The sequence below is a fragment of the Homo sapiens genome, chromosome 9, assembly GCF_000001405.40.
Source record: "Homo sapiens chromosome 9, GRCh38.p14 Primary Assembly".
Taxonomy (NCBI): domain Eukaryota; kingdom Metazoa; phylum Chordata; class Mammalia; order Primates; family Hominidae; genus Homo; species Homo sapiens.
The window spans coordinates 11,078,739-11,096,730 of record NC_000009.12 but is presented as its reverse complement, the minus strand read 5'-3'; positions in this window follow the sequence as shown (position 1 = coordinate 11,096,730).

The window sequence follows — 17,992 nt, the reverse complement described above, 5'->3', positions numbered from 1 at the left end:
CAATATTAAAGATCAATGTATCTTTAATATTATCTTTAATGTATCAGGCTGTTCTTTTACACAAAAACATGCAACACTTTTGGTTTGGTGTTATCTATGTAATACTCTAAATTTCAAATCAACATACTTATATCTTATTTCCAAAGTACTGAGCTAGTTTCCAGAGATTATAATTAATTCATTCATTCAGTGAATATTCAGGAAATGTTTATTTTGTGCTAATCCCAATCATAGGAGAAATAAAACACAGTTTCTTACCTCCAGTAAGTCTAGTAAGTGAGGGTGAGATGAACAAAACAGGTCTCAAATATTACTGGTATTAAATTACAGAAAGGCACATCAGTGATTTTTAGTAAGACAAATCAAATGACTTAAGTGATAAATAGAGTTTAACAGGAGCTATTGCTGGGACTGAAATCCTGGAGAAATTCTACCTGAAGGAATCTGAGATGATGGGCTCTCAGCTAGACCTTTCAAATTTGGAAGAATTTTAACAGATAAAGAATGAATGAAGAGTATTTCAGACTGATAAAAATGAGTAAATATAAAGAGTTATAAAACTTTGTAAGTTTATTTATAAAGTGATCTTATATAAATTTATGGCAGACAGAAATTAGAAGTGTTACATTAAATAGGAGATATAAATTACATATAGAGGAAAGCTAGAGTGAAAAGGAGTCTGAAATAGATAGCAAAATGAGGGAAAATTGGAAATTTTCTGTTCTCAAGTGTGAAAAATATGCATACTGAGGGGAACCTTATAGGAGTGAGAAATTAATTGCATCAGTGTCATATGAAATAGTCATGTCAAGATATGTCTGTGTTCCAGGTTCATGTCACAGTAGGAAGGGTAATGCAGCATCATTAATTGAAATAAGGAAGAAAAAACGTGGTATTTATGAGATAAGATAACATCCTTGTTTCAGAAATGTTGACGTTCTGATACCAACATGATACCCAAAAAGGCATAAACAACAAATACAGTATAAAGACATATTTTATGCCACTCATGTTATATAGGAAACTAAATGATATCAGATGTCGTGAATGTTGAGACAAACAGAAAGAAGGCACAAACTGCAAAATATTTTCTTGGTGATAGAGGAGCAGAGAGGAACTAGGAAGTTAGAGAAATAAAGAACAAGAATAGTATAAAGCCTCAAAGACAAAAAATAAAAAGTCCAAGAATAGAAAACAGTTAACATTATCAAATGTCACATTAACTTCAAGCAAGGTGAGAAATGGGAAAATATTTGGCAATTAGGGAGTCATTAGTGACTTTCAGAATAGAAATACCAGCTAAATGATAAGGTAAAAATCTATTTCAAGGACTAATGATTGAGTGAGGAGTAAGGCAGAAGACTCAGTAATGATAGACTCTTATTTTCAGAAATATGGTAGTTCAAGGTAGTAGAAATGTAATTCTAGTCTAAATATAGAGGAAATCTCCAGCCGGTAGGAAACTACAATAGCATAATAATATAGGATATATATACATAAATATATATTTATATATATATATACACACACACACACAATAATAATGTAAGAACAAGCAATAAAAATTTATATAATCAGTTCTAGGAGAAGAAATAATTCAATCATGAATTATTCTACAGGAATTCACTGAGTACCTATTATGTTTCCAGGACTGTGCTAGATACTGAATGTACAAATCTATACTGAGTACATATACCAGGTAAGACAGAAACAAAAGAAATAATTATAGTATAATATGATGTGTTATTTTGAAGACACATATACAAGTTATAAATATGTATAGGAAACTGTCTCTAAGTCTGCCTGTTGTAAAGAGGGGAGTGAACGAGAAAGGATTCCAGATGAGGCTGCAGTTGAGCTAAATCTTAAAGAATAAATAAAGAGATATTCATGACTTAGAGGCAAGAGTAGAGGTAATCTAAATAGAGAGAGGAGCTTCTGCAATGGCTGGGAGTTACAATGGAGTATAGCTATTTGAGAAGTCCCAAGTCTCCCAATATTAGGATAGAGTTTGGTAAATTAAGCAGGGTCTACAAAGTATTTTGAAATTATTTCACAGACTAAGCCCCATCATTGAAAGATTATAATTAGAGAGATTCTACAATGTTTTGCATATTTAGAAAGATCAGTGAGTCTGTGCAGGAAGTTGTATTGAGAGTGGATAATAACAAAAACAGAAAAAAACAGTGAGATAACTGTTGAAAAAATTATATTAACAGTAACGAGGGCTTGAATTAAGATGGCATTAGAAGGGAAAAGGTAAGTCTGAGAAATATTTATGATGAATTTCATGTTGGGAGGTGAGAGAATTAACAGTTTGATGCTGAATTGTTTGTTGTAGTTTTTTTCTCCTCCTTGTGTGACTTGATTAAATAATGTTTACATTAACTTAGATTAGTAGCGATAATTCTGGGAAAATATATTGATTTGGACTTGCTGAATTTTTGTAGACCATAAAGCATCCAGGTAAACAAGTCTTACAGTGAGTTGGAAATATGTGTTGCATACATAAAATAAATTTAGTTTAGGAATGCATTGTGGGAATCATCAACATATGGGTATACATGGGAGAGAGTGAAAAACGAAATGGGTTGGACAACAGCAATAAATGATTCTAATAAGGTCTAATGCAAGATGTAGGAAAAGAGTGCATTTGAGCAGCATATTGTGTTGAATTTATCCTGCCCAATATACTGTATTTTCTCTGTGAAGCAGAAAGAAAGATAATCAAGGGTAAAATGAGAATTCAAGATGTCACATGAAGATTTGCTATAGTTGTTGTTGGAAAAAGTACAATAGCACAAGCCAGAGACAAATAAAAGAAGTGAAAGACTACAAAGGAAGTAGCATTTTATCTTGTGGCCATTTAGGTAATTTTATGCCCTTGATTCCTACAAGACAAGAACAAAAGGAGATATAATATTACAGAGTGGGTAAGAGGGACATTTTAAAGTTTATCCCATATACTCCAGACCTTTTAATTGAAATGACACACAGGGTTATTTTGTAAAATAGTATTAGTGATAGTCCGTAAGTTTATAATGAGTTGAAAGAGATTTTTAAGAACCACTAGGAGAAATTGCTCAGGTAGAACTTAAAGACACATAAGTAAAATTTACTAAGATAAAGCAAAAGATTTGTTGCTCTTTAAGTTTTTTCTTTACTCATAATTTTTAAAAGTTGCACACTTTGGTTAAAAATCTTAACTAACATCAAAATTATATGTGAGACTACTAAAATGTGGGATATAAAAGATGGCACTGTGAAGGAAACAATGCTTCTGCATATCACCACTGGAGCCCCTGCTATTTGTCTGTATGAGAAAGACCAGCTGCATTTCCTTGCTAACTCAGCATATCAAGTTGTGAGTCCTCATTACCTTTAAACAGCCAATTAAAAGAATATCTAAGAATATACTTAAAAAGGAAAACCATCTGTTCTTACAAAAGAAGCAGAAATACATGTCTAGCAAAGTTATAATTTGGGCTTTGAGTTCTAGAAAATATTGGTTAATAGATTTATAGCATTTGATTTTACATCTTACAAATAATCACATAGCACCACTAGGAGGCTAGGTCTATGACCTGGTCAGGGAATACTTTACACAATACCGTATGATCACTCACTGTGGTCTCAACAGTTGCAGCACTTTTATATTTAATTTTCTTTTTTGCAGTCAATCAAAATTTATTTCAAAATGGCTTACTTCTTCATTTTACCAAGCATCTATCTATATCTATCAACCAAGCTAGCTATCCTTCCATCTAACCATTAATCCATCTATCCATTTACAATGTATCTTCTGTCATCAAATAGCTATCAATTTATGCAATTCTTATTAAACTCTAGACACTAAATATAACCATTTCTTCTGAATCCAAATATTCATCTAGGTTTGACTGGGAATGGTGAATTTAACATCTGTTTATAAGCAATTTTATGACGTTTATAACTAAAAACCATTTTTAGGGACTAGGGAAAATACTTTGATGGTGAATGATTCTGCATATTGAAAATAGTTGCTCTAAAAATCAATAGACACCAATTCTAACCCGACATGTTTTTATTTTTAAGTTTTTAAAAATTTTATATAGCCTGGATTTTAGAGACTGGGTCTTGTTATGTTGCTCAGGATGGAGTGCAGTAGATATTCACAGGCATGATTATAGTGCACTGTAGTCCGGAACTACTGACCTCAGGGATCTTTCTGCCTCAGCTTCCTGAGTTGCTGGTGCTTCAGGTGCACACCATCATGCCTGGCTTGTGCTTTTATATCTCGTTTGTGCCTCTGTGTGTGTGTGTGTGTATACATACATGTGTACATATGTCTGTAAGTTATTTTGTCTCTGTTTAAACTAATGTAAGCATGTATAAGTAAATACATATAAAATCAAAGCAATTCAGTTTTTATTTTCCAATGGAAAACAGAATTCTAGATTTGTTGTTGTAAATTTCTTCACAATAAAAAGTAATACATCTCAATAATACTATGTAAGGCTTCTAAACACTTCTCTTTGACCATAACATCCAAGATTACACTGTTCATCCATCTCATGTAGACAATATTATAATAGTGCATATTGGCCTGGTGTGGTGGCTCATGCCTGTAATCCCAGCACTTTGGGAGGCCGAGGCGGGCAGATCACGAGGTCAGGAGATCGAGACCATCCTGGCTATCACCATGAAACCCTGTCTCTACTAAAAATACAGAAAATTAGCCGGGCGTGGTGGCGGGCGCCTGTAGTCCCAGCTACTCGGGAGGCTGAGGCAGAAGCCTGGCATAAATCCGGGAGGCGAAGCTTGCAGTGAGCCGAGATCGTACCACTGCACTCCAGTCTGGGCGACAGAGCAAGACTCCGTCTCAAAAAAAAAAAAAAAAAAAAAAAAAAAGTAGTGCATTTTTTTTTTAGATGAGAATTTTTAAACTCTAGCATTTATATAATTATATTACTGGACACAACAATATGTGTTTCCTTTGATTGCCACACAATTATCTTTTGTTTTACTTGTAGCTTGTATTTCATTATTTTACATATACCACATACATATTACAGCCCTGTTCTAGACACTAGTGATGCACATTTGGCTGGGCGCAGTGGCTCACGCCTGTAATCCCAGCGCTTTGGGAGGCCAAGGTGGGCAAATCACTTGAAGTCAGTAGCTTGAGACCAGCCTGGCCAACATGGGGAAACTCTGTCTCTACTAAAAATACAAAAATTAGCCGGGCATGGTGGCACGCACCTGTAATCCCGGCTACTCGGGAGGCTGAGGCAGGAGAATCACTTGAACCCAGTATGCAGTGAGCCGAGATTGTGAGTGAGTGAGATTCCATCTCAGAAAAAAATAAATAAATAAACTTCATGGAGCACACATACCTAAAGGAGCACAGACATCAATTTAGATAGCATAGCAGAGACAATACTGTGTTTTCACCAAATATGTGATCTCCCTACTGGCATACATAAAGGCTACATTTGCCTACATCCTTTGTAGTTATGTTGGGGTCATGTGATGAAGTTCTGGCCAAAGTTATGTTGGCCAAATTAATGCCTATCATGTACAAGCACATCCTTGAAAACCATGCTTGATACTTGACATTCTATTATCTTGTCCACATAGATTTTGAAAGTCTTACGATGAAGATGCCAGATGTATCAGATGGAAGCATACTGGATTCCCGAGTCTCCAGTTGGAAGAAAGCTTTCTGACACACACTGTAATATCAGTAAAAATAAGCAACAATCATATTAAGTCACTGAGATCAGGAGGTGCTTGCTAAAACAGTTAGTTAATACTAACAGCAGTAATGCAAACAGTGTGGTTTTAAGAGGAAGACATCAAGTTTCTTTTTTTTAATGCAGTAAATTCCAAAGTCAGAAGCTGAAGTCAGAACTAGTAAGGTATATACATAAAAGAAAAAGGAGTACAGTGAGTGTCCATGACCTTTTCAGGTAGCTAACCTTGAACAACATGTATTTCATCTTTATATTTACATGATTTTCATTTAGTGAGAAATAAGATGTTGCATCTGCTCACAAATAGATAGCCTCCTGGGGAGTATACTTCTCCCATGAGTGTGTACTCTGAGAATACAAAAGTTATAATAGAAAGTGAATGGAATGGATGTCAGCAGATTCCTTTATATGTTCCAGCAAAATATTCTACGTGTAAAGAAAGAAGTAATAGAAAATATGAATCAAGTTTCATAAGAGTACTTTTTTCCACACAAAGCATAAATTTTACCCTGCAGTATGCAGTTATAAAATCTGTATTTTAACAGGAAGGAAATAAACCAATGTATATAATATAGTGTTATTTATGTACATTGTGGCATGTAAGGATCACAAAAACCTTACGCTATATTATTCCCACTGAGGAGAAACAATTGGTCACAGAGGTTAAATAATTTACTCAAGATTACATAATTTGTAAGAAAGAGTTAAAATCAAGTTAGTCTGAATTTCAAACTCAGTTTCAAATTATCGCTTTTCTCTGTTAGTGTCAAGCAATATTTTAAATTCACTAACTGGTGAGAACATTTTACTTTACATGTGGATTAAACCACTGCCTATATTTTGTCCATGATTTTTTTTGAATTTAGGTAGTAAGATTTTAGATGCAAGAGATAAGTTCCCTTTAAATAGTTTTTCTAATTATGAAAGACATTAGTAGATGCTAAGCTTTATCTTTAATTAGAGAGCGGACTAGTCAGAATACTGATGGTCGCGTAAATCATTAATATTTGATTCTGAGAACTGGTGCAAGAATTTCAAGTTTGACATAAAATTTTAGTTGCTTACTGATTGCATGACTATTTTAAAATGAACGATTTTATTTGCCAATTACATATTTACCACATATATCCTGCATTGTTTTTTGTCCTATAATAAAATCTTCCCTGTTATTTACTAGCTTCTAATATCTAGGAGCTGCATATCTAGTTTCTTTTTCTTTGGAAATACCTGATGCCCAGGGATACTTGAAGCCAATTCTCTTTTCCCCAGTAATGGGGGACAGCAAAAACCTGGAAAAACAAAGCCCCAGATGTTCACTCTAAATGATTCATACTTCTCTTCTACGATACTTTAGCCAGAGTAGGGAAAAAGTAGAATAAGTGGACTCATTGGTGTGTTGTTTCTTTTTACTACAAGTACATTGAGTAAATAGCTAAATGTTTGTAGGAGGAGGAAGAGGAAGTAGAAACAAAACACCTAGAGTATCCTCCAACAAAATAAGTCCCTGATGAATGGTTGGCTGATCACGTTTTTCTCCTATCTTTCAAAAAAAGGAGATCCCTAGAAAACATATTTTCACAAACAAAGCTATTCTTTTTTCTTCCTGGATATAATATTTTTCTTACTGATGTTAAATATAAAGCTTCAATTGTATTTTATACTGTCAAATTAAATATTATGGTGTATTAGTATATTTGCAGAGCCCAGCAGAAAAGCACTGCTCTTCTTTACATATGTATCTCCTTGTCAAAAGAAAATATTTATAGAATGACAAGGCTGAAGGTGACAGTAAATTTGACAGTTTTTCCTGTGGAATTGACAAATAATGAAGCTTCATCATTGATGCTTAGTAAACAGGAGAAGAAAGCTTTCCTGTTACGAGAATTATCTTTAAAATTTCTCTTTGACTAGGCATAGAGCAGTGCATCATAGGACAGCAATGTTAGGTCACATCATCCTGCTCAGAAACCTTGAATGACTTCAGAGTAAAGTGCTAGCTTTTTAGCATACCATTCATATTCCTTTAAGACCTAGACTTCTTTTTCTCCACACTCAGCCCTAACTTCTTTATCCATTGCTTGTTCCTACAGTGATAATGGGAATAGCTGCCAATCTGTAAACCCAAAGCATAGTTGAATAACACTGTGCCAAACCTTAATCTAAAATGCACACTCTCAGCTCCATTTCTTAGCTCAAATCTGGATTAGACTAAGTAAGATTATTGTGGAAAAATAATTTTCTTACCTAATAAGAGAATGACTATGACCAGCTGCACTTTCCTCATTTTAACTAGCAGAATCTGAAAATTGACAGCACAAGAATATTTCAGTCCTGTATAAAATCAAGGCTCTATAATATATATAAAACTCATATTTCAAAAGTAGCTACTTATCACTAGATTTCTCTTATAACATTGAAGTTATTCTTTCAAAAATATGATTTCCAAATATGCATTCTTGGAAATTAAAATTCAATGTATTCTTAATTTCATGAATTTCTATTTTTTGAAATTAAAGTTCTAATAATGTTTATGATTTTCTTCCCTCAATCATTTGTAGTTGTTTGATATGAAACTCTCATATAATAGGTGTTCAAGTATTTTGGTTCAATTATTCCCCCAGATGACATCATCAGCGCTAACTAGCTGAAAAAAATTATTTCTCAGTCATGGTAAGCTTAAGTACAAAATATTATAAGAAAAAAATTTGTTTCCAATGAAGAAATAAAAAACTTCTGGAAGAAAATTGTGTGTGTGTGTGTGTATGTGTGTGTGTTTTAGTCTGCCTGTGTGTGTGTGTTTTACTTAAAGGAACTTTTTACAAGCCTCATATTTGAGGAGTTCTTTGTGCAACTTAATGACTCACAGGTAACTCCAAGGAATTAGATGCTATTATATCTTTTGTGTGAATAAGATTTATAGTGCTTGAGTATAGTTGTAGTTAATTATGATATATGTAGATTTGTAGATTATCTCTGGCTTTTTTTCTTAAAAGAGATAATATTAGTTTCTATTTTTAAATTAACCTATATTTCTGAACGAAGTTTCTAGGCTTTTGCAACTATACATTTCATAGAGTTTAGAAACTTTTTGACATAAAACTTTTTGACATTGCCTTAGAAACAAAGCATATAAGAGAAAATTATTAGTTTTCCATACAAAAGTGAGAGCCTTTTTAACATTAAGGTGTTGATTTCATCTGTTTCCCAGAAGATGAATTGGATGGCTCACTTCTGAACAATGGGTAACTTTAGCTCATAAACTGCAAGAAACATTGAACTACCTATTTTTCTTTACATTGCCGTCTTGGAAATGTTGATCAAAATCTGCACTTTATACATTGAGTAAGGAGTTATCACTCTGTTGTAAAGAGTTCATGTGTTATATCACAGATGGTCACAGAACCATCATCATTTGGGACTAAGGTAAGGTGTCATGGAACACCCAAAAATTTAATTGGACCTTGAAGAAATGATGGGCTGTAAGAAATAAAGATAAAACAAAAAGTGTTTCAAGCAGAAAAAAATGGTAACGAACAATGTGTTAGATTTCTTAAAACTCTCTTTGTGAACTATTTTTTTCATCAAGTACTAAGTAAAGGGCAGATTCTCACATTATTTTTGACTTGAACAATTTGGGGTCATAGTTACTTATACACTGGTGTGATTTGGCTGTGTTCCCACCCAAATCTCATTTTGAACTGTAGTTCTCATAATTCCTACTTGTCATAGGAGGGTCCCGATGGGAGGTAATTGAATCATTGGGGCTGTCACCTCCATGCTGTTCTTGTGATAGTAAGTTCTCATGAGATCTGATGGTTTTATAAGGGGCTTTCCCCCACTTCACTCTGCACTTTTCCTTGCTGCCGCCATGTGAAGAAGGGCATGTTTGCTTCCACCTCTGTCATGATTGTAAGTTTCCTGAGGCCTCCCCAGCCCTGTGGAACTGAGTCAATTAAACTTCTTTCCTTTATAAATGACCCAGTCTAGGGTATGTTTTTATTATCAGCATGAGAATGGACTAATACATACACAAAGTAGTGTTTTAAGAAGATAATCAGGAAACGATGTTCAAAATAATTTCAAAATTTAAAAGCAAGCTGAGAGTCGGACTACTTTTTAAATAATTAAATAATCTAAACATAAAACCATGATGATATAATGATGACATACAAAGTGACAGCAGAAACAGAGATCAACACAGTGATTCAAGTTGCAATTTAAAGAATTGGAAGAACTTGGTGACTCATTCACTGTGGGCTGCAAGTTTTAGCCTAAATGCCTAGGCAAATTGTTATTTTAACAGAAGACAGAAGGTTAAAGTGAAAAATATATGGACAAGACAGCTTGTTAGAAAATAAATTTTTAACAAATAGTGAAAAGGTTGTCAGAAGATTAAAGCTGTAGATGTTTCCAAAAATGATAACAAAAAAGACTTGATAATATTGGTGAACACATAACAAAAGCTTTATAAGACTCATTACCTTATATGGCCTTAAGTATTTATCTAGCTCTTTAATTTTTGCATTTAAGGTTAGGTACATGCCTCCCAATTTCAGGCCCTGTTTATATGTGTATAGGATATAGAAATTGAATTAAATTAAAAGATAATTTAAAATACTGTAATTTTGCTTAAATATCTCACTTTTCCCTTATATATTACTTTTTCTCAAAATATCTTAAGTATTGTCCTTTCTAATTTCTCTCCCTTTAAAACATTGTGTTCTGGAGCAAATTTTCAGAACTTTCCAGACTGAAGAGCTTGCAGTTCATATTAAGGGAAATATTTGTAATCTCCTGGGTTACTAAACAACCTTCTTGCACTCATAATTCTTAGAAGACATGTGTTCCTTCCACTTATCAATTTTTGATGCCATGAGTTCTTTAGGTAAATAGGGCTTTTTGAAGAAAATTTGGCAAATATAAAAATATACAAAGAAGATAAAATTTTCATCATCGCCACAACCGTGCTTGGAAATATTTTCGAATTTTTTAAATTTGTGTGAATGTAGTTGTGTTTGTATATGTGCAAACTGGAGTTTTGCAGTGTAGATTATTTTGTGTACTCATATTTTCAATTAATCTTGTAAATTTGTGATATTTAAGCTAATAATCCTTGAAGACATGATTTATAACTGTGGCTTAAATAGCCATGTTACTCAGTTTCCCTCCTCCATTTGTATTTCTTTTCTAAGGCTGCTTCTATAGCATCTATTGAGAAGACACCGGATGAAGTCACCTAGAAACCCTGGTGGCTATTGATTTGAACTGAAAGTAGATAATAACCAAAACTGCAAAAGTGGGCCAATTTCCTTCCTTCCTTCCTTCCTTCCTTCCTTCCTTCCTTCCTTCCTTCTTTCCTTCCTTCCTTCCTTCCTCCTTCCCTCCCTCCTCCCTTCCTTTTTTTTTTTTTCTCTTTTGAAACAGTCTCACTCTTTCACCCAGGCTGGAGTGCAGTGGCATGACTACAGCTCATTGTTATCTCTAATTCCTGGGCTTAATGAATCCTCCCTTCTCAGCCTCCCCAGTAGCTGGGACTACAGGCACATGCCAGCACACCCACCTAATTTTTTAAAAACATTTTGTACAGACGATCTCTCACTATTTTGCCTAGGCTACAACTTGCTTCTTTATAGCATGCATAAAAATAAATGTAAAAAAAAAGATAAAATTGTTCTACATTGAGAAAAAATGAATAAACTAGAGAGAAAAAATGAATAAATAAGTTCTGGATGAAAGAGAGAGGCGAGGAGACAGAGATTAAATAGAGAGAGAGAATCACTGAGAGAGTCAATGTAAACTTATTGTTTCCTGTGATATTTCCAAATCCTGTTTCTCATTTTTCCTGTTACCTTGAAGTATCTAAGACACCTTGTTAGGGTTGACAGATTTAGCAAATGTAAGTACAGGGCATCCAGTTACATTTGAAATTTAGATAAACAATCAATCGAGTGTTTAGCATAAATATAGCATAATAGTGCAAGATTTGGGACAAGTTATGGTAGAAAATTATTTGTTGTTTATTTGAAATAACTATGGGTCATCCTGCATTTTGACAACTCTTCCCCTGGTATCCTTCCTAAAAGACAATTCTTATTTTAGCTAGAGGTCCCTTAAGAGGTTCTCTTTAAGGAGACAAACTGTCGGTGCAACTGCAGCACACGTTTCACTGTATGTTTACACCTGGTTTCTTGAACTACAATATTTCACAATCATTATAAACTTCTGATTCTTCCACTGGCTAATTTCTGCAATCGCCTTGGTTCCAAGATAATAACCACCTCACAATTTTTTCTTCCTTACATAATGGCCTCTAAAAAAAAAAACCAAACTTCCATCTATTTCTTGTCATTTTCTATAGGTCATAATTCTGTGGTCTTCTAGTCCTTCTTTTGAAAAATATTTCTCAACAATATACGTGATACTTGTTATAACTTAACATGAAGAGAAATAAACAGGATGTTAAAAACTTGAAGGTAAATGTTTTATTTTAAGAAACATATTTTTTTTCTTTACTATTTTCTTCTCAGCACCTGCTTGACTTCTCACAGTTCTCAGTATGTTAAGAATGTGGGCATTTTTTACTGCACAGGTGGTATTTGCTTTAATGTTGAAATAAAAAATAAAAGACTTTGCTACATTTCTTTAGGTTTTTCTTATAATGTGTTCATATGCCCTGACTCTTTAACTATTCACATTCATGAAATCAAGATGCAAAATTTTTAATCTATGCTTGGAATTCTGTATAAATTTAGGGAAAGGCATGCCACCAAGTGGTTTCACTGGTAGGTGACTGGTGAAATCGAGCCCTGAACCTCGCTTTGGATGAAAGACATGCACTTTCTGTGTTTCTTTTAACTATATGAAAGCAAGCGGCTCTCAACAAAGATTGTAGATTGTGCATATGGCACCTAAATAGAAAGCATGCTACAGTCTTGAGTGTTTTGAAATGTTCTCTGGTAATACATGACATACATAACATGGATGTGAAACTATTACATTTTAGACTGGATAATTAACTATACTATCAGTAACCTCTTTTTGGGAATATCCATTTCAGGTGAGTCTTTCTTTAAAAACATCCTGGGGTATATAATTGTCTTAAATTGTGAGTGTTTAGGTGCCAAGGGTAGATTATTTTTTCTACTCTTTACTGCACTGTCTTTTCAATCTAAATACATCCAGAAATGAAGAGGAAAAAAAAAGTTTCAGTTTTTCAGTTTTTTAGCATACTTTCCTAACTTCCCTTCAAATGGGTAAAGAGCAATACAGTTACAGAGAAATTAGAATGTACTAAACAGAAATTGTTCATATCTTTAACCTTGAGAATGAAAAGTAAATGTGCTCTTTTGCTCCCTCTAAACAAACATGCAATACTTATATTCATATATATGTACATACACATCTGTTATATATTTATATATTTATCCAAGAAGTGCATTTGACCACTATTCTAGCTCAGAGAAAGATCCTGAGTTGGTGACATTCATTTTCATATATGTTCAGGTGTTTGGCAATTTGTGTTTTATACAACCATTCCACTAGATGTCCAGGACTCCACCTTTTATCTCAAGCTATCAACATGGGCAAAAGTAGGATGGGGGCTGATATGGTTTGAATGTGTTGTCCTCTCCAAATCTTATGTTGACATGTAATCCCCAATGTTGGAGGTGGGGCCTACTGAGAGGTATTGGATCATACGTGCAGATCCCTGGCTTAGTGCCACTCCCAGGCTAATGAGTAAGTATTTTCTCTGAATTTAAGTGAGATCTGGTTGTTTGAAGAGCCTATCTTATCCTTTCTCTCTCTTGTTCCTCCTCCCACCATGTGATACACTGGCTACACTTTAACTTCCGCCACTATTGAAATCTCCCTGAGGCCTCACCAGAAGCTGAGCAGATGTTGGCGCCTTGCCTGTACAGCCTGCAGAACCATGAGCCAAATTAAGCTTCTTTTCTTTATAAATTACACAGTCTCAGGTGACTATCTAAAGGAATGCCAGAATAGACAGACATGGTAGCTATATTAGTTACCTATAGATACTGTAATAGGTTACATATAAAGTAGGCGATTATATATATATATGATATTGGAAAGGTAATATCCTGAGATAAAAGCCACAAACTCAATGGCTTGAAACAATAGAACTTTATTTTCTTAAGTTCTGTAGGTCAGAAGTCCAAAAAAGTGTCCACAAGGCCACATTTCCTCTGAAGGCTCTAAAGGAGAATGTGTTCCTTGCTTTTTCCATCTTCTGAGGGATGCTGGCATTCCTGGGCCCATGGTTATATCCCTTCAATCCCTGCCTTCATCCTCACAATGCCTTCTGCTCTGTGTGTCTGTGTTGTCTCTCTCTATCTTTCTCTTTGACTTGTCATGTTATTTAGGGCCCACCAGAATAATCCAGGATTATTCTCTCACTTAAGAGTTTTAACTAATTACATTGGCAAAGACTCTTTTCCACAATAAGGGTATCACAAGTTTGAGGGATTGGAAGGTGGGTATAGCTTTGGGAACTTTTTTTTAGCCTACAACAGGGCCTAGTTAGACCTAAAGCTACCAATAAGCATCACTCTAACAAGGCAATAACATCATGTGACTTTTTGGCTGTTACCAAGAGGATCTTCATGAGGCCACCTAGAAAGAAAACTAATGGTTCTTTGACACACACACCATATGACCATTCAGGTGAGGGCTTAATGGTTTCTGGATTCCAGTTGATGTGTTGTGCAGGAACTGGGTACTGGTGATAGAATCCACAAGAGGATAACCTGTGAATCTATGGCTACTGACTCAACTCCAGTCCACTTAAAAAAAAAACTATTTGTGTCCCCCATCAACTTCTTCCTCATGATATCTCCACTTTCACTTTCTGACTTTGAGAATCTTTAAGTTGTCTTGAGAGTTAGGGGTTAGGCTTGTCTTTAGAGTTAGGGCTTAGGTCCTAATTTTTGCTCCTCGTCATCATATGTTCCTCAAACATTTATGGACCCAACTCCTGTGAGTGAGAAGTAAATCCCCCCAACCCATATTAATATATAATATTTTATAGAAATATATTCATTTCACTATATAAACAAACCCAGAGAACAGCAAACAGGTTGAATGAAAGTTATTAGTAACACAATGATTATTGCTAAACAAAGAAAAAAATAAACATATTTTGTATAAAAATCAACATGATTACTTCATGAAAATAAATCTTCCAAAGAGAACTATAATATTTTATAAGATTATAATTTGACAGTTTTGATGAAAATTTACTAGTTAAATTTACTAGTTAATTTACTAGAAAATTTACTAGTTAATTTACTAGAAAATTTACTAGTTAATTTACTGGAAAATTTACTAGTTAAAATAATCTGTGAGATTTGACAATTTTGAAATGTTCCAGAATTAAATTATTTAAAATTTTAAAAGATCAATGGCGATAGATAATATATGAGAATATGGAATATGTACAGACTCAGGAAAACTATGAAATGTTCTTTTATAACTAAAACCATATTAATTCAATTTATATTAAAAAACTTTACTAAAGCCTCTAGCTTATTATGATTAGGCATGGTTATAACAGAAAAAAAAGACAAATTATGCCACATTTTGCAACACCTTTCTAAGTTCATCATGGGCTAATTTTCTGGCTCTAATTTATATTAAAAATAAGTTATATTTGTTGTATTTGAATATGGCAGCTGTGTTTTTCTTTTCTATATGTCATCCAAATAGATATTATTTAATTATAAAAAATTTATTTAACAGGACCTTTTCTTCAATGTAATCAGGTATGTTCAGTACACACTATGCCTGCTCAAAATAATTTCACAGCCTATACAGAGTAGGGAGATAATTAAAACACAAATAAACATCTCTGTCACCCAGGCTGGAGTGCAGTGGCGTGATCTCGGCTCACTGCAAGATCTGCCTCCCAGGTTCACGCCATTCTCCTGCCTCAGCCTCCTGAGTAGCTGGGACTACAGGCGCCCTCCACCATGCCCGGCTAATTTTTTTTACTTTTAGTAGAGATGGAGTTTCACCGTGTTAGCCAAGATGGTCTCGATCTCCTGACCTCGTGATCTGCCCACCTCGGCCTCCCAAAGTGCTGGGATTACAGGGGTGAGCCACCACGCCCGGCCACAAATAAACATCTTGATTTTGTCTAAGGAAGTAAGAGGAATTTATCATAAGTATACAGATGTTGCCAGGCATGGTGGCTCATGCCTGTAATCCCAGCACTTTGGGAGACTGATGCCGGCATATCACTTAAGGTTAGGAGTTTGAGACCAGCCTGGCCAACATGGTGAAACTCTGTCTCTACTCAAAATACAAAAATTAGCCAGGCTTGGTGGTGGATGCCTGTAATCCCAGCTACTCAGGAGGCTGAGGCAGGAGAATCGCTTGAACCTGGGAGGCGGTGGTTGCAGTGAGCTGAGATTGTGCCAGTGCAGTCCAGCCTGGGTGACAAGAGCAAGACTCTGTCTCAAAAATAAATAAATAAATAAATGTATCTTGAAGAAACTGTGAGATATAATTTATTCCTATATCCAAGCTGCCCTTGCCTCCTCCACCTCTCCCTCCCTTTTTTATGACCCCATTTGGCATAGCATGGGATCCTATTACCAGCAGTAATTGTTCTATTTTTTTTATGTGCCTTACTTTCTTCATTCTCATAAACCCATTGGCAAAAACAGGTTTCATCTTTTAGTATAGATACCCAAAGGTGGAAAATGGTTCTATATCCATATGCTAATCATCAGGGAGGACCTCGGCACACTTGGTTGAGCGTCCCATCTTTGAACAGATTGAGTGTGGTTGTATGGGCAGAGCGGCATTGCTCAGAGATAATAGCTCCACAATGATCACGTGGATCGAGTGGGAGAGAAGCTATACTGAACAGAAGATTGCTAGCAGACATTTTTTTATGTTTCCACCATTCTGCTCATCAGCACTAGTCCGTTAGTCTTGAACATATTTAAGTCTTGGCTTTCTTTTCAGATATGTCACATCCACTCCTTCCTTCTAAGGAGTTTTGCCTTTGGATGAGAAAACTATATAGGAAGAAAGGAGAAAAATTACTCTATTTTACATTTATTATTCAAATTAGCCCCAATATATTATAATATATTATTTTCTCTCCTTACTATATACTTTAGCTGAGTTGCTTATTTTCTTCTGCTGCACCAATGCAATAGCCTTTGGACAGGGATGCCTCCTTCTGATTGAAACCTTTTTAAACACAGATACCATTACCATCTCAGATAAAATGTGGATATTTCAAGACCTCAGTCTTAAATATTTCACAGATTCTCATGTCTTATTCTAACTGTTGAGAAATTTTCAGTTAACAATAAAGGAAAGGAATCTTTGTGAAAATATGCAAAAGCAAAATAAATCATGTAGTTTAGTAAACAGGAAGTTATGATTAGAAAGATTGTAAAAGGGTGGTTTGTATGTGGGAAATTCTTTATCAGCAATTTCTCATGGCATTCATTACTGATAATTTGTATTATTATTTAATTTATATGTATGCCCCATCTGTTCTACCAGACAGCACCTCAAGGGCAGAATCCACACAATTGACATTGAACCATTTCGAAATTTAACATCAGGATTTGCACTAAATGGTTTTTGTTTGTTTGTTTTTGTTTTTAAAGAAAGTAAAGAAATAAAAGAATGGCTACTTCATGGGAAGACCAGACAGGATTTGCACTAAATAGGTTTATAACATATGGTAAAAGAAAAAAATAAAGAAGGTAAAAGAGCAAAAAAGAGAAACAAAAAGTAAAGAAAAAAGGATAAAAATGGTGGAAAAAGAAAATAGTAGAGGTAAGCATTTAAAGGTATATGGAAGGGAATAGCTGAATAAATATTTATTTTGATACCACATTGGTATAACAACGCTGAGGGAGACAGTATGTTAAGATACAAGTTATAAACTATATGTAAATGAAGAAAGGTATTAAGTGTGCAAGAATTAGTCATAAACTTTTATTTATTTATTTTACTTTAAGTTCCAGGATACATGTGCAGCACGTACAGGTTTGTTACATAGGTAAATGTGTGCCACAGTGGTTTGCTGCACCTATAAACCCATCACCTAAGTACTAAGCCCCAAGTGCATTAGCTAATTATCCTGATGCTCTCCTTCCCCCTGCACCCCTACAGGCCCCAGTGTGTGTTGTTCTCTTCCCTGTGTCCATGTGTTCTCATTGTTTAGCTCCCATTTATGAGTGAGAACATGTGGTGTTTGGTTCTCTCTT